Here is a 19,097-nt window from a genome sequence, read left to right on the forward strand (position 1 = left end):
TACACATATATATGTGTAAAATAATCCTTATCACTATTTTTTGAACCTAGGTTTTACATATATTACCTGGTTTAATTGTCATGAAAACATCTTAGCTGGTAGAAATTATTAATCTCATTTTACAAATGTGAAAATGGAGTTTCAGAACATTCACTTAACTTGCCCAATATCACCCAGCTACTGACTTTTACCAGTGGCGGTGGCAGAATCGAAATACAAAGACAGACTCCTCTGGCTCTACTTTAAACAGCCGCTGTAAGTGGGGCAGCAGATCAAGTACAGTATACTACTATATACAGTAATGAGAGTGAATGGGAGAACTACATGTATCAATGTGGATAGATTTTAGAAACAAAATATCAAATAAAAACAAATTACAGATTGGTGCATATAGTTTCCTATCATTTACATAAATATTCAGACGTATGAAATATGTTACCAAATATTATTCCTGGCACTGTAAAGGGATAACAAATACTGAAAGGATACAACATTTCTGATAGTGCTTTAACTCCCAGTGAGCAGGTGATGAGAAAAATAGGATTTGAGATGGGGTCAATAGGTAAACTTCATCTGCTTTTTATTTTTAATTAAACACTGAATTAATAGAATGAAATAGTAGCTGCCATGTTATGATGATGGAAACATACGCATTGGGTAAACTATTTTTGGGTCTTTTTTATATCTTAACATTTTCCTCAAAAGGTTAGTACCTTTCCTCCACTCCTTACATCAGCAAAATTAAATGGAGTAAGATTAAGGTTACTTGCTTTTATTTAAAGCTTTAAAAAATCAGGAATTTTGCTCATTCTGAAAACATTTATTGAGCATTCTCTAAGTGTCAAGCCTAAGCTCTTGGTGATGCAAAACAATCCCAGTATCTAGAGATGAGTATCAAAACTGGCTACGTAATTTGTGGGGCTCAATAAGAAATGAACACGTAGACTCTGTTCAAAAGTTATTAGGAATCTTAAGACAGTGACAGCAGAGCATTAAACCAAATTTGGGCTCTTCTAAGTTGGGGGTCTGGTGCACAGGTAGTATGCCCATGAAGTCAGCAGGGGGTTTGTAGTTTAATAAATAGAGAGAGAGATGAGATGCATTTGTATATTCAGCCTACTTTCTTACTAGGCACAAACCACTGAAAGGCTTGCCATCATTGATTAGCTTGCTCCTTTCTAGTGAAAGCTGTGCTCAGGGCTCCATTCCCCCATTCCAAAGTAGCAGAAAACAGAATGAGTGAAGGAGGCTGTTCCAGCCTAAACACTAACTGCTACTGGAAACAAATGTTATATTATTGAATTGTAATAGAATGTAATAGAAGTCCTTTGTGTCCTGTGAGTCAAAATATCAGTGATTTATGAAATGCATTTCTTGACAAATACGCTGCATGAAATTTTTATTGTTATTTTTTCCCCGTCCTGGCTCTTAGAGAAATGTTAAGAAGCTAAAATCAGACCAGATGGGCCAACAAAATTATGCATCTCTAGTAGATACATTTCTGAGGACTTAACTGCTTTCATGATGCAGGAGTCCTGTTGCTAACAGAACTACTGAAGGTCAGATTCAAGGCTTTGCAGTCAACTTGATCTCACATAACCTGCTTATAAATAAATGAGACAGAAATGTTTTGTTCTTTAAAAAGAACCCTAAACTTCACCATGGTTTAAAAATCCAGAGTGTAAATCTTTTCCATTTTGATCACAAAGCATTTGAAATACCCTCTTATCCCAAGTTTTTCAGGAAAATAAAGGCTTAGGCATTTTGCCCTTCTTCTCCTAGTTAGGTTTGTCCTTTTCAACACTGTCTCCGTTGATACTTGTATATTATAGGCAAATTCCAATTTTGTTTTATAGCACTATCATTTTTTTTCAAGCAGAGAGATTAGGCCACTTAACTATACTTAAAGTGGTGAAGTAAATTTTCATTGATTTTAAAACAAAATATAGGTCTTATGATAATAAACAGTTCTTTATAACCCAGTACACAGTAGGTGCTCCATAAATATTTGTGGAATGAATATGTGGTGCTCTAAGGGTCATTTAAAAATTAGACTATAATATCTCTAAGTAACCAATTATTCAATTCCAAAGACATATTGATTTAAGCCATTAGGTCTACAATTATATTTTGCAACACATCATTGCATAACGCACCACTCCTACAGAACCAAAGCAAACTGAAGCCAAACACAATAAATTTCTGCATTATACATTTGCACAGGGCTTATGATTTTTATTTACCTATTCCATTTAATCCATACAATAAACTCTGAGCAGAGAAAGAATTATCATACAAGGAAAAGAGAGCCCAAGAAGTGTCTAAGCCCTGATAATCAGTGACAGACCCAGGCAAATGCCAATTTCTGACTCCTAATCTAATGCCTTTTGTACTGCACTGGACTCTTTCAACTGTGGTGCTAGGCAAAAGACATGGAAAAAGATGGAAAAATGAACCAGAATGGAAGAAAAACAAAAGTAATCAGCATTTCACATTATTGAAGGCTTTTTAGTTTTTGTTTTAATGTGTATTTACCATAACATATAGTCACAGTCTTGTCAAACGTTAGTTGACCCTTTTTCTGTGAATGATTAAAATTGAGCACAAGTGCACACAGAGGCAACAAGTCTATTAAAAATACAGGTAGTAGTCTATGAATGTCATCAGACTAGACTTCTAGAAAGCCTGCCTTCAGCAATTTCAATTTTAAGAACAAGAGCATCTCATATCCTAATTAAGAGGTAAGAAACTGTTGAAGGTAGCATTTGGTTCAACTGGCATTATTCTGTGCTTGGGCCACCTGAATAGTCTCAATACTGCCAATAATTGTTGTTATAGCATTGAAAAATCCACAGCTCCTCAAAATGTAGCAGAAAGGCAGGTAGTAGCTTGACTCGGATTTTAGTCAGCTGCAAACTAGTAGCATGACCTTGGGAGGGGGGCATCTCTCCACCCTCTTAAGCATCAATTTCTCAGAGAGGGACTGGACTCCACTATCTTTTAGATCCTTTGTTTCTAAAAATTTATTCCAGCAACATATTGGATATTCTATTCTAACAAAATACCTGAGACAGAAGTAGAAACTCCATAAACTGAATTTATGATGTAACTGGTAGTGAATTACACTAAGTGAAGAAATTGAACACCAAACTAAGCTTAGTCCTTCTACGAACTACCCCAGCTTAATGTACATGGTTGACTGTCTTTTGGGTTTTCCATACTTCCTTCAGGAATGCTTTTATTTCTATGTGATTAACTACTTTTACATTTCCTAAAACATCTATTTCCCACATTTTTGACTCTTCATGTCAAAGAACACATCCTGACACTGTCTTTGTCAGTGTTGCTTCTTGCTTTACTGAGACTGTAACTACTGAGAAAAATTCTGCCCTCATTCCCTTCCTCTAAAGGGTCTCTCTTCCCCTTCATTCTCTCTTTGTCCCACTCTGATTTCAAGGGAAAAAGCATTCTCATCTTCTCAAAGATAAGCTTCTCAATAATTGTATTCCACTTCCTTATTCCACCAGATCTCCAACCTTTCCCTTGATTCCTTACGGACCTTCCCGAGTCTAAAAGTTGTTTAGATATCTTTCATTCTACCCCAACAAAATTAAAACTAGTACTTTTCTCTTAAACCTGCCACTATATTTTAACATGAAATTTCTTAATAATCTGTCTTCTCCCACTTTCTTACCACTCAAAATGTCTCTATTTCTTTGCAATCTGTTGGCTGACCTCTTTATTATAGTAAAACCTTATGACCAAATTACTTAATCCTCTGTGAATTTCATAACTAACTTAAAATCTACTCTTCATTTTCTTTTCCAAATCTGTTTCTCTTGTGATCCCCATTTCTGATGACTTCAGAGTCCTTTCTCCCCTCATGTCCAATCAGTTGTCAAATCCAAGTATATTTTCTTACATGAATTCTCTTCCACTTGCCTCTCCACTATTCCAAGGTAGCATGTGAGCCCCAGTTTAGGTCATTAATATCTTTGGACTCGTGATAATTTTCAAACTGGTCAACTTTTTTTTTTTTTTTGTAGACCACAAAATCCACTTTTATTTGGTAGTTTTACATCTATAGCCAAATAGAAAGCAATGGGTTGACACAGTAATCTAGAGATTACCTCTGGAAAAAAGTAACGTGAGTCTGTCTAACCACATTTTCCTAACTCAACAGTAGGATCATGATAAGGCAAATGCAAGTTATTTTTACCATGATTCTCAAATGTGAATTGAATTCTGACTCATCACAAACTGGTCAACTATTTCTAAGATCTCCTTTCTTCGTATAGTATCACCCACTGGTGGCTGGTTTAAGTACAACAAAAGAAATGTTTCTACTGATATTAGTGCTATCTGAAATGGAATGGCTTGCCTGAAGTTGGCAATTATAACATAAAGTAAATAATATCAAAGCAATGAGAAGGCTAGCAGGAGACAGTATAATTTTGAGTATTCACTGCATGCTAGACACTGCATTAACCATTTTACATGTGTCATCTTACTAAATTTTGACAACCCTATGATATTACTTACCCCCTTTTGCAGATAAGAAAACCAAGACTAAAAGCATTTAAGCAACCCATGCAAAGCAACTAAGATGATAATAGAGCAGAGTTTTGAACTCGGGTAAGTCAGTGTGACCAGAATTTGTATCTTCAACATCCATGCTATGATGCCATCCCTGGAGATGCTCACTGTGGACTCTGGATGGGAGATGTTGCAAAGAAGCTTCAAGAGCTGAATAGACTGGCTAGATGATTTTTAAATCCTCTTCTTGACATCCCACTTGCATATTCACTTATATGTTGAGAACTACTATTGTAAAATACAATGCTGGGTTCTGTGTGAGATGGAAGCAAGTGGTATTCTGCAGTTTCAAAAGTGAGCTTGCACTCTAATGAAGGAGGTAGACATGCATATGTGTATGACTGAAGAAGGCAGAATGGAAAGCACACAGCATAGAGCTGGGGCTGGGTGTGGCACTATCCAGCCTGAAGCTGAGAAATGGACACGCTGCATTTTAAATCCCATTCCATTGACGTCGTTTACTTCAGGACATACTACCCAGGCCCCTGGAAAGCAGCGTGGATTGGATTTACACCTCATTTCATGAGCATGACTCAGATATGCATTGAGGTATATTTCTTGAGAGATTCTATGACTTATTTTCCTAGACAGTGGGGAGCTGGTGGCAATTCCTCAGTAGGTAAATAAAGTTGAGTAGTAATGAAGGAAGCTAGAATTACCAGCGTGGAAGAATAAGTCACAGAGAAACTGGAGGGAGGCATCTCAAGGTATACTCCAGATGTGAGATAACAAGGAAAGGAATCACACACACACATAAAAACCAGAACAGATTAAAGTTACAGTTCTAAGAAAGAATTGATGAAACCAGACTCCTTATAGGATATGGGTACCAAAGAAAGCGAAAAAAGTTAAAACTGATTTTTCAAAAGTGAGAATAAAGTGATGGGAAAAGTATTCTTTTAATAGTATAGAAAGTATGAATTTAGTCTGAGTGTGAGGTGCCAATCACAGTTACCTGGTTATTGTGATGAAAATATTCCATGGACAACTGAAAACATATTCTTAGTAATTTGTAAATGGGCCCAGGTCAGAGATTCAACCCTGGAAGTCATTTACATACTTGCCACTTCTGTTCTCTGTAGAACAGCAACAAAAGCAATTTCTGAGAGCTTTTAAAAATGCAGATTCTCAGGCTCCTTCTCAGGCCTACTGAATCAGAATCTGCATTTTAGTAAGGTTCCCTACATGACTTGCATGCACAAAGTTTGAGAAGCACTGTTGTGCATAGAGGGGATTGTTAAAGACTAGACATAGATAAGAAGGGTACTGCAGGTAAGATAGAACATGATTCCACATTTAGGAGATATAATAAGGAGTGAGCAAAGGAGAAAAGGAAAGGTGTGATGGTTAATAGTGAGTGTCAACTTGATTGGATTGAAGGAAGCCAAGTATTGATCCTAGGTATGTCTGTGAGGGTGTTGCCAAAAGAGATGAACATTTGAGTCAGTGGACTTGGAAAGGCAGACCCACCCTCCATTTGGGTGGACACCATCTAATCAGCTGACAGCATAGCTAGGATAAAGCAGGCAAAAGAAGTTGGAAGGACTAGACTGTCTGAGTCTTCTAGCTTCCATCTTTCCCCTGTGCTGGATGCTTCCTCCCCTCAAACATCAGACTTCAAGTTTTCAGCTTTTGGATTCTTGGACTTAATGACAGTGGTTTGCCAGGGGCTCTTGGGTCTTCAGCCACAGACTGAAAGCTGCATTGTCAGCTTCCCTACTTTTGAGGTTTTGGGACGCGGACTGGCTTCCTTGTTCCTCAGCTTGCAGACGGCCTGTTATGAAACCTCAACTTGTGATTCTGTGAGTCAATACTCCTTAACAAACTCCCCTTCATGTATATACATCTCTCCTATTAATCCTGTCCCTCTAGGAAACCCTAATACAAATGGTTAAAGGGGCAAGAGGAAAATCTAAATAAAAATGTCAAAGAAAGAAAGAGTTTAAGAATAGGTTAAGAAGGATAAGGACTGAGAAAACTCTACTGGGTTTAGTAACTAATTGGTCATTAGTGACCACCAAGAGACATTTCAGTGGAACAGTGGAAAAGGGATGGCAACTAGTGAGAAGGGATGAGGACTGTGCAGATGGTGCAGAATTCAGAATGTGGGAGCCATAACTCTGAAAAGTTTGGAAATTAAAAGAGACTGAAAAGTAGCTTAGAATACATAACAGGATCAACAGAAGGCTTTGTTTTCAGGGAGAGAAACTTTGAGCATGCTTGCCAGCAGGAGGCAGGGCACCACTGCCTGTGAAAGGGCAAATGGAAGAGAGAGGGGATCACTGGAGAAGCAAAGGCTTAGACGACATGGGAAAGATGGGATCATGAGCACTGTCTGAAGTCAGAATTGTGTTTCTTGGAAAGAAGAGAAGAGAGGTAAAGATAAATTCAGGATGAGGAAAGAGTGAGTTGATAAAGGATAGTCTAGATTTCCTCAGTACTGTGGAAGGTAGAATAGATTGGGGGAAGAAAATAGCAGGGAATGTAGCCAGGATGCTGTTGCCAGAATCCAGGGTAAGGTGAGGCATGCTTGGATTGGGAACATTAGTGTGAAATGGACAAGGAGAAGACACAGATGCAGATATGGGTACATCTCAAAAGAAAAACGAATGTATCTTCGGGCCTTCATAAACGATAGTAGGTGAAAAATAGAAAATAAATGAAGTTTTAAATTAGAGCCAATGGGACAATGATACTACTTTAGAAAGCAATACAGAGACAAGTGAGGTGATATTTCAAGAGAAAAAGTCTGAGTTTAATCTTGTCATGTTGAGTTTGAGGTAATGGTAACACATAAAAGTGAGAATGTTGATATCTCACTGGTTATTTCATTCAGCATGTATTTACTTGGGGCCTCCTATGTTCCTGATGCTCTTCGGGGGACCAGGAAGTAACGGTGGGCAAGATACTCCCTGTCTTCACCGAGCTTAAAACTTACACGGCAAGACAGACAGGTAACAAGGCACTGGGGTCAATCAGGTGAGAATTCAGACACTGAAGATACTCGCTTCTTACAAACTTGGGGGCGGAAAAAAGGCAAGAGAGTCTGCTCTGGACTGGCCAAAAAGGAGAGCCCTCATTCTACGTTAAGAGTAAGTAAACACGGCCGGGCGCGGTGGCTCACGCCTGTAATCCCAGCACTTTGGGAGGCCAAGGAGGGCAGATCACGAGGTCAGGAGATCAAGAACATCCTGGCTAACACGGTGAAACCCCACCTGTACTAAAAATACAAAAAATTAGCTAGGCATGGTGGCCGGTGCCTGTAGTCCCAGCTACTCGGGAGGCTGAGGCAGGAGAATGGCGTGAACCCGGCAGGCGGAGCTTACAGTGAGCCGAGATCGCGCCTCTGCACTCCAGCCTGGGCGACAGAGCGGGATTCCGCTTCAAAAAAAAAAAAAAAAAAAAAAAAAAAAACAGAAAAAAAAAACACAAGATGAGAATGTTAGAAAATGCGAAAGTGATTTCTAAACTATTCATAAAGCTTTAATACGCTGGCAAAAGAGTGAGAACTAAAGCAATCTTGAAATCTTTAACAAGTTGGAAACATGAGAAAGAAAAAATAAGCTATTAATGGTGAAATAAATTTGGGTTAAAAACAGTTGACTCTTCATCAGGGCCAATTTGAAAGCTTTCTTTCAAATTGAGGCTCTATTGAAGACAAATGGGTACACTCTTCCATTCAAAGCCCATTAAGAATAAAAACTGTAAATGAAGCACATCTGCTCTCCGATGTGAACTTAGAAAGGAATCTTAAAGCATGGGAGACCCATAAAGACCCTATGCAAATAGGTACAGAAACATGCGCCACAAAGGATAAAGTGATATTTCATTGATACTTCCAAGCTAAAAACAAAACAAAAACAATGAGGGTTTTCTAACTGGAAACTTACTACCTAAGAGCTTTGATATACAAAGTCCATAGTCAAAATATAAAAACAAATTTCACTGTTATTTGCACAGGATAAATGAGGCTACACAAACCAATGTAAATCATTTTTTTAAAAAATCAGAGACTGTACAGAGGGAACCAAATATCAATGAATTAAAATGATACCAATTGGTGTTCCTGTAGCAAGCCAAGTGCATTCAGATTGCAATGGTTTTGTAAAAAGATACTCCTGAAGTAAAACTTTAGCTGTATTAATCTTCCAATTTTCAGAATATAACCATCATTTTTAGCTATTATTGCTTATGCTAACCTACTGGATTAGTCTAAATTATAAAAAAATTATGCATGAACATATGAGGGTAGATTTCTCCAAGTCTAGTCTGCTTCTAATTACACTAATTTGTAGTTCTGGCAGATTTATTTGGATGCTTCTAATATGTACAGTATTTCCAGGCTTTTAAATCGGGGCTATTATTTTTTTCCTCAAACATCACAAAGACTTTAAATGTCGGTTTATTAACTATGCTAATTAGGGAGAAAGGAAGCATGGGGAAATGAAATTTACTAGTACTCCAAATACTCCTTTTTAGTCATTACTGTTTAATTCTTCCCTTCAACTCATGTCCTAATGGTTCCCTACTTTGGTCAAGAATATCTTGCTTGTCATTATTGTATCTTTCAAAAGACTTTATTCAAAATGAAATTATCGATTTTGAATATTGTGATGTGATGTGCCTAATTCCATCTATTTGATAAGAGTAGAGCCAGGGTGCGTGTGCAAGGGGGTGAGGGTGAGGGTGAGATCCATGCATGGTCTGAATAGCTTGGGCCTTAGAGTCAACAGCCTGGGTTAGAATCCTAGCTCCATTAGGTCATCTGTCCTAACTTTCTCTATATTCATTATCTCCGGGTGCTGTCAAACCATGGCAACATCTATCAATTAGAATCGGTCATCAGATAGATTCTTTTACAGAAGTGTCAGTAGGACAAAGTGAAATTGGAGGAGAGGCTTGAGAGCGGGAGGAAGAAATTACTCCAAATTATGCTACACAAGTTTGCCAGGTTACTAAACCTATTGAAACAAGTAGTCCTACAGATTCATCAAGCAAGTTGAGTAACCCTTAAAATTGGGTTGCATTTTGCTGTAAGACTACAAAATTTCCTTTCTTCCTTCCTCTCTTCTCCCTTTCTCTCTCCATAACTTTATCAAGATAATTTTTAAAAAGAAAAAGAGCAATCCATAAGTGTTTATTTTCTCAGCATTAGTACCCCAGACCAATCCATTAGGAACCGGAATTATCACAAGGAGGCATGTTCTTTTGAGTCCATTTTCCAAACAAAATAAGTCATGGGATTAGTGGTGGGTGAAATAAAAAGTATTTCAGATTCTTTGAAGCATTTCAAAATTATTTTTCAAAAAATTGGGTTTTGGAAATATCTTCTACATGTTTTTCCAAGTATTCATCCCTTGAGAACCATGGGCATATGAAGGGAAATTTGATTTTTTTCTTGAGTCTAGATTTCCCAACGTCAGATGAAAGGTGATTTTGAGAACTTATAAACACTTTAAAAATTCCTTCATTTTAGTTTGATTTGGACAAATAAAAATAAATAAAACACTACAAAAAACATAAACATGGCCAAAAAGCACATTAAGAAGTATGCAATAGCCTTAGTGTAAGGGAAATACATATCAAAACTGTAATGAAAAACTACTACACTAGAATGGCTAAAATGAAAGATGCTGACAACACAAAATGCTGCTTTAGAATGTGGAGCAATCAGAGCTCTCCTACATTGCTTGTGGGAATGTAGATGGAAAAATTAGGCAAAAAATAATCAAATATACGTAATATACATCTTCCTATAACTCAGAAATTCCACTTATGTTTAAGAGAAATTAAAATGTCCACCAAAATTTTATGCGAAAATGTTTATACAGTCTGTATTCATATACATAAAAAAAAACAACATAATTCAGGTGCTCATTAGCAAGAGAATAAACTTTTGAATATTCACATAATAGACTATCACTCAGGAGTACAAAAAAGAATGAATTATTGATATCCGCAATGTCATGAATGAATCTCAATGCTCAGCGAAAGAAGACAGTCAGAAAACCCATACTATATGACTCCATTTATATGGAATTCTAGAGTAGGCAAAACTAATCTATGGTGATAGAAATCAAATCAATGGTTGTTTCTGGAGGAAAGTACTTTCTAGAGTGATAAAATTTTTCTGTTTCCTGATGGGTATTGGATACATGGTTATAGGCATTTGTCATAACTCAAACTGTACACTAATATTTATGCATTTTACTGTGTTTAAATTATACCTCAATAAATGTTTTTTATTCAAAAAGGAATAAGAAAACTTCTGAAATGTAAAAATCACTTTGAATGTATTTAAAATAGAAAACTTTAAAAATAAAATGCCTTGATTGAAGCTTGAAAATTTTGAATGCTTTTCTAGATGCAAGTTTCTGAGTTTTGAAGCTAATATAGTAAATATTTATAAGCAAACATCATTTTATAACCAACCTAGAAGTATGGTTCAGCATGTAGCACAGGGCCTAGTACATATCCATCCAATGCATCTAAATACATGCATCAAATGGTTGGATGGATAAATAGCAGTAGTTTAAAAATATACTTAGATTTTTCCCATTTGTTCTTCCAAAGAAAATGGTAGCTTCATTTCCAACTTGCTTTTCCTCTGCTTATATCTCTGCCTGTGTGTCTCTCCTCAGTTTTCTAAGCCAGTGATTCTCAAACTTCAGTGGGCATCAAAACCACCTGGAAGGCTTGTGAAAACACAAATGGCTGGGCCCCACCTTGAGAGTTTCTAACTCAGTGAGTCTGAGGGGGACCTGAGAATTTACCTTTTGACAAGTTCAAGACATGCTGATACTGCTTGCTTTGGGAACCACACTTTGAGAAGTATGATTTAAGAGCTTCAATTGTGAGATCAAAGATCCATCCTTTTCCAATCAACTTTCCAACTTTTAATTGTCTTTCCTAACTGCCTTTGGCCCCGCCTTCTGAGTTTCTAATTGCACTTATTACTGATACCACCCATTTGCTATTTGACTCATACTTCCTTGTATAATAGTTCATGATTTTTGAAAAAAATTACATGTATGTGTTTTCTATTCAGGTAGATAACCTTCTCAAGGGCAGGGCCCCTGACTTTGTTCCCCTCACACCTAGAACAGGCTGTACAGCTAAGAGGTGTTAAGTCAATGCTAACAGTCCTGATACTTACATATTCTTCTAAAGCATGTACAGATGCTATTAAAAGCAAATGCTAATATTACCTGTCATTGGGACAGTGACTTGGCAATGTCCAGTCATGGTGTGGGTTGATGAGGAAACCCCAGGACAGGAAGACCGAGCTCGGTGTCAGAGTGCCAACCACCAGCTGCAGAGGTTTGCGAGAACGAGTTTTACCTGTGGAGGTGGCATAGAGGTTAATAATTCAGGAGACATTTAGTAAGTTGCCATGATTCGGGTAAAATGCATTAAAGATGACTTGGCAAGATGATGCAAAATGTGAAAACATCAAGTTCCTTTCCTTTTCTATAGTCCACATTATTACTAATTTTTGCCCAGGAATTTAAATGTGAATCAAATACCTTTTTCAGATTTGTGTCTATGCATGTGTGCATATGCATATATGCATACACATGTATATGTATATTGTACATGTACACATATTAACAATATCCAGCTATACCTAGTTTTATTTTCTTGTGGGTCAGGGAAGGATATGGAGGTCTTAGCTGTGATGAGTGAAATAAACAAACACACATACACACACTTAATTTCTTTTACAGATAAAATGAAAGTATGTTTATTTTTTTCCCGGGACTGTGAATGAGTGTGAAATAACATCTAAGACAAGAAAATAAACCTTATTATCTAGATTGTAGGTTATAATCTTTTTTAACCTATTTAGAAGTGTAAAATCTCTTCATGTTATTGTAGTAAGTATATATTTTACAATGAGTATCTAAATGGAAAAGGCAAACACATTTTTTAACAATGATGGAAGAGTAGGGGTAACACAGGAAGCACAGTTGTTCTGATGGTGCCAACTGGATCTAAATAATGCCAAGAGTTATGCTAATAAATCACTGGAGATTGTGTTCAAGTACACAGAAGCAGGCACTTGCACTTTCAAAATTATCTGAAACTGCAGAAGTAGGGCAGCGAAAAACAGGAAGAACCTCAACCATGAAAACCAATGCTGACTCATTGAAAATAATTAGAGTAAATAAGATAAAAATCCGATAGAAAGCCTAATAAAACTACACAGAATATAAAACATACATACTCTGTATTGCTGTTGAATTCCCTCTTTTATTTCTTGAGACTATGAATGTTGTATTTGCTCTAGAAAGAACTTGTGCTGTCTAATGAAGTGGGAGCCAAATGGCAGAATGGCCTGCCACCTCTATTAAGGTAGGTAGGAGAGTGCCCCTTGCATGAGCCTATTGGTGGTCATCTGAATCAAATGCTCTTGAAAATTGTGTCAAGCTTGTTCCTTTTGTTAAATTTAAGTTCTGTAAGTTGTTATTCAAGCAAGAACCCTTCTTAGCACAGAATACACCTAACCTAGTGGTGGCAAATTGCCTCATTATAGGATAGTTGACTTTTAAAGATGTTTGAAATAAGTTTCAAAGATAGTTATCATTTACATGGTTGGAAACACGGGTTTATTCTTCTCTAACTTCTGCAGACCCAGCTGTAATTGTGCCTTATATGATGGTGATTTAAATTGTCATGTATGAGCTCCAATGAGGGCAGATTAGAATCTGCAGTGAAGGCAGGGAACACTTATAGTTTGAACAAGCCCTGGGATGATTGTGATCTTCCCTTTTCAATTCCTGAGTTGATTTTCACTAACGTGATGCAACGATCTCATTCACTTTGCAGATGAAAAATAAGGCACAGAGAAGTTTCAAGATTGTCCAAAGTCACATTAAGAGCAAAGTCAAAACTCAAGTCCTGGGTCTCCTCAATCACAATCTAGTTTTATTTTTATGATATCACTGTCTTGGCTCTCTATGTATAAAAATAATGCCATTTAGAGATGAAAGACATATTTTTCATGTAAGGAACCTAAGGCTTGTATGACCAAGGGAAACTAATGGTCTCCCAATTATTTGTATGACCAAATAACTATTTCACTAAGGTTGAATCTTAATATAAAAATAATTAAATAATTAAAATTTATGTGGCAGATACAAATATAGAATGAATGGAAGCTAATCCCTTAGTCATTACATTATTCCTAAATGCAGATAACAAAAACAAAATTATATCCGCTATCCAAAAAGAAAGGTGGGATGTTATATCCTGAGCAAGATGAAGCAATTTCCTGAGCTGGTCATAAAGTAAACAATAATTTCTAAGGCTAGTGTCATAGAATCCTCAAAATAAAATGAAGTTATAAAGTGCTAAGGCATGATCATTCTCTTGACATTCCTTACATAATTTTGTATATTTGTACTATGATCATATTTCTATCAAGAAACAGTTCAATGAGTATTCATCTGAAAACAGATTCCATGGAATCACACTGATGTTTCTTGAGTTTGTGGCTCAATATTTTTGAAGTACAGTCTTGAAATATTGAGAGTACATCTATTTTCAAGTGTGTGGAAAACTGTCTGGACAACTCTCACTAACAAGTTGTAAGGAGCGATTGGAATTTCCCTTTTGCTTTGGGATGATCTATGAGGCCAGGAAAAAGAATTAGTATTTTTCAAAATGCTTAACCATTCAATGCTGCTCTTAAAAGAAGTGGAAATCAGCAGAAAGAGGGGAGGGAATTGTGGCAACTAATTTCTGATTTAAGCTATTTAGTATAACTGAATAGCTGACTGTTCTTTCTCCCATTTTATTCCTCCAGAAAAATATAGCAAACAAACAAAAAGATCCTTTTATCGTGTGGTATCCAGTGTACCATAAAAGATGAACATGCTTTGGCAATAATTACTTGGAGATCATTCACATTAGAAAAATAAAAGCAGGCTGGGTGCAGTGGCTCACACCTGTAATCCCAGCACTTTGGGAGAGCGAGGTGGGGGTGGATCATGAGGTCAGGAGGTCGAGACTGTCCTGGCTAACACGGTGAAACCCCGTCTCTACTAAAAAATACAAAAAATTAGCCGGGCCTGGTGGTGGGCGCCTGTAGTCCCAGCTACTCGAGAGGCTGAGGCAGGAGAATGGCGTGAACCTGGGAGGCGGAGCTTGCAGTGAGCTGAGATTGCACCACTGCGCTCCAGTCTGGGCCACAGAGCAAGACTCCGTCTCAAAGAAAAAAAAAAAAAAGAAAAGCAAAATTTTGTGATCAACTCTATATAGAGTTAGGAAGATGCAACATCAGATAGAAAAAGCATATTCACAGCTTCTTCCTTATAGCAATGGTCAGCTATATTATTTGATCTGAGAAGAAGTTTTGGTAGTGAAATTAGACGACATAGAATTTTAATCTTTAGTTATGTAGAAAGTTTCTACTTACTTATTTATATATCCACTTTCCTGTTGCAAGTCTTCCTAGACCTGGAAACATGAGTGTTGCTATTATTTTTATTTTATGGAAGAAATCCTTCCTTTATTGAATTGAAGAGGTTAGAAGGGAGAGATAAGGAGTAAATAAAACCTACATGCTGATCTATTTAACACACATACATGAATTATCCTTTTAAAATGTAAACAGTCTCCTTAAGAAAAGGTGAGACATAAAATTTTGCCCTTAACATCTGAAAGGCACAATAGTGAGCATGAGTTCACACACTGTAAAATAGAAACAGGCTAATAGGAGCTAACCCCAAATGAGCACTGACTACAGGCCAGGCACTGTCCTTAACTCATTTAATCCTCAAGGACAACCCTATTATGCAGCAGAATCCAGGAGTAGAGAGGTTCAATAACTTATGTAATTCCCTGCAGTTTGCAAGTGGTGGCACCAGGAGAAAATCCCAAGCAGTCTCTACCACCAGGCTGTGTTACTTCTCCAAAAGGGTAAACTGTGGACCCAGGGCTGACACCTCCTCTACATTCTTAAAGCTTCTCAAGGCATTTGGTCTCCAGGGGTCCAAAAGAGATGAAAAGTCATGGTTCAAAGTTCATAAAAGAAAAAGAATTCAATGCAAAGGACTATACCTGAACATGACTTCTTTTGACTTGGAGGTGGAGCAGGTCGCACAACTATCAGATATTTCGGCTCTGCATCTGGAAGCAATAACATTATTTATCAGAAAAACCCTTTGAGAACCAGCATTGGAGGCAGCACACCCCTACCCTGATTCAGCATTCCCTGAGTCATCCTCCATAACCGCAGCTCCAGGGAGTGAGAGGACCCAATAATCCGAAAAGTTGACACTTCCTGAGAAGTTTATTAAGTCATTAAAATGAAAATTAAATCCAGATTTTCCAAACCAAATGGGCAAGGGTGAGGGAGAAGTCTTAAAATAATCATACTATACACAGATTTTAAACGCTGTCTTCATCAGTTCTTTTCTCTGCAAATATATATTTTAAAAAATCAGAGTATGTCCATTCTGTTACCCCATGCCTCAAGGAGAGCCAATCCCGATGCTCCAGGGAAGGAAAAATTCTACTTGCACAAGACACCGTGGGCCTCACCTGTATGAGCTAAAATCACTCCCTTTCATGGGAACAGGAATATTTATAACGCCCTTCCTAATTTGTATCCTGTTTATGTAATTTCTCAGCCTGTTTTCATAGCTAGTCATTTTTAATGAACAATTTCTAAACAGTCACAATTTATAAGTTGGTATAATTTTCATTTTAAATATATTTCAATGAAATGTACATAGGGAATCTCAGGATATTTAAGTTTTAAATAAAATTATATTAAATCAATCAGCATATGCTAACTCAATAAGGAGCTAATAATTTATCAAATAATTTTTTAAATATTGATGTCTGCAAGATGAATGGCTGGTTACACATATGTAAATAAACCAAATATATTTTGGGCATATGAAATAGCATTTTATAAGCAACTCTACTGGATTAATGGATTGATGAGTATTCTTTACAATGTTCCTCCAGAACTTTAAACTCTGAAACTCGTTCTATAAGAAATATCATTTGGATGCTGTAGTCAGCCAGAATTCACAGCTACTTACTCAGGCAGACTTCATATCTTTGTTTTGTTTTCATTCTGGGTTCAAATGTCTCCCCTCCATGAGTCTGGAGCAGAGGCCTTCTTGCCCAAGGCTTTGCAGAGCTGACCTCTTTTCAGATGGGGACAACCTGGCAACTCAACTTCTCTTAGTAACTTGTGCCTTTGTCTTTTTCTGGACATCTTACACAGCACTATTGGCTATAACCTGCTGCAGTAATTACCGCCGAATAAAGTAACTTAGGCAGCCTGATGAACTCACCTCAGAGCTTTGCCTCATCATTGTACAGTTGCCTCCTGCCCACCACACAGATAAAGGAGCATTCATTCTGTTCCAGTCTCGTGTGTTTGAAAGCACATCTTGCTTAGTGAGGCTCGTACAAGGAATGCTGGACCCAAATCAAATCAACAAGTTTCCTAGTAGGAATACAATAACCATTTCCTGATTTTCTTTGAGATATAGAGCAATAAACTACCATGTACTGAACGCTTTCTATGTGCTGGATACTATATTGAGAACCTTATATTCATAACTTCATTACTCCCTCATGGCAATCCTACCTGGCACTACTATTATCACCTCAATTTGTAGATGAGATAACTGGGGCAGGGTTGACTTCATGGGCATGTGGCATATACAGTCACATGGGGCCCCATGCTTAGAAAAGCCCTATGCTTGGTTTAAGGTCCTGCTGTCACCATCTTGAAATTCTTAACACTTTTATCTTTGAACTTGTGTTTTGCAAGGGAAGTCTGATGGGACAATAGAGCATGCATGTGAGTGGGGGAAACAGAAGCAATAAGCATGTCAGCATGTTCTTGCCTCCCCCACTCATTTATGGCATTGGAGGAATGCATTATCATATAATTCCAAAGGAACCATGATGTGTGGGAGTTCAGCAAGACTCAAAGGTAGAACAAGGTAAGTATGTCACATTTACCATTCAATAAAAGGGTAAGGAGGGGGACACACAGAGCTGTGAGAGACCGTACTTTCCATGTGAACCAGAACTTGCTTTAGATGCAGAAAAAAGGCAATGGCACTTTAAGAAATATGAATATCATCGCTGGCCATCAGAGAAATGCAAATCAAAACCACAATGAGATACCATCTCACACCAGTTACAATGGCAATCATTAAAAAGTCAGGAAACAACAGGTGCTGGAGAGGATGTGGAGAAATAGGAACACTTTTACACTGTTGGTGGGACTGTAAACTAGTTCAACCATTATGGAAGTCAGTCTGGTGATTCCTCAGGGATCTAGAACTAGAAATACCATTTGATCCAGCCATCCCATTACTGGGTATATACCCAAAGGATTATAAATCATGCTGCTATAAAGACACATGCACATGTATGTTTATTGCGGCACTATTCACAATAGCAAAGACTTGGCACCAACCCAAATGTCCAACAATGATAGACTGGATTAAGAAAATGTAGCACATATACACCATGGAATACTATGCAGCCATAAAAAATGATGAGTTCATGTCCTTTGTAGGGACATGGATGAAGCTGGAAACCATCATTCTCAGCAAACTATCGCAAGGACAAAAAACCAAACACCGCATGTTCTCACTCATAGGTGGGAATTGAACAATGAGAACACATGCACACAGGAAGGGGAACATCACACACCGGGGCCTGTTGTTGGGGTGGGGTATGGGGGAAGGATAGCATTCGGAGATATACCTAATGCTAAATGACGAGTTACTGGGTGCAGCACACCAACATTGCACATGTATACATATGTAACTAACCTGCATGTTGTGCACAGGTACCCTAAAACTTAAAGTATAATAATAAAAAAAAGAAATACGAATGACCAAGAAACCCTATCATATCCTTTCTTACTCATGTATTAGCCAACCACTTATGCTGAAAATGATAAAGGAAAAAAGGGAAAGATAAGGGCACTCTTAGTTCTTTTTTTTTTTCCAACTCTTCCTCATTCAGAAATGAGTTGAAAGAAGAGTGTTGGTAGAATGTGCACATATTAAGAAGTGAAATAAACAGCTGAATTAGTTTTGTGCAGCATTTCCACTATTCTGGTAGGAACAAAATGCATATGCATATATGTATAAACTGTAAAATACAAATTGTGCAATTTCAGTAATTTCACTTAGGAATTAAAGGCCCTTACGTTTGCATTTAAACCTGGGATTGAACAATATAAAGATATAAAGTAAACTTCATGCTAATAATTTTAAATTTTTTCTTTACTAAGACATCAAATAGTAAATAAAATAAATAAATAAAATCATGACAAAAGGAGAAACCACAAAAAGGAAAAAGCTTTATATTTTAGTATCTTCAACAACATTTTTTTTCCATGTTTTTGAACCAGGGGACCTGCATTTTCATTTTGTTCTTGGCCCTGCAAGTTATGTAACTATCTTAATCAAGTCTACAAAATACTCTTTTAATAAATCTCAGGAATTCAC

The 19,097-nt window shown here is 37.2% G+C and overlaps 1 protein-coding gene across 57 annotated transcripts in view; it reads right to left on the bottom strand.

Annotated features, from left to right (window-relative positions):
• Positions 1–19,097, bottom strand: part of ABI3BP (ABI family member 3 binding protein) — a 244,266-nt gene that overhangs the window by 137,802 nt on the left and 87,367 nt on the right. For all 57 annotated transcript variants that reach the window (XM_006713572.4, NM_001377332.1, XM_047447926.1 and 54 more), the window contains exons 3-4: positions 15,661–15,729; positions 11,805–11,937 (exon numbers count right to left, since the gene is read on the bottom strand). In XM_006713572.4, the coding sequence (XP_006713635.1) occupies positions 11,805–11,937; positions 15,661–15,729 (202 nt within the window). The remainder of the gene's footprint in view (positions 1–11,804; positions 11,938–15,660; positions 15,730–19,097) is intronic.

This window comes from Homo sapiens, chromosome 3, assembly GCF_000001405.40.
Source record: "Homo sapiens chromosome 3, GRCh38.p14 Primary Assembly".
NCBI lineage: Eukaryota > Metazoa > Chordata > Mammalia > Primates > Hominidae > Homo > Homo sapiens.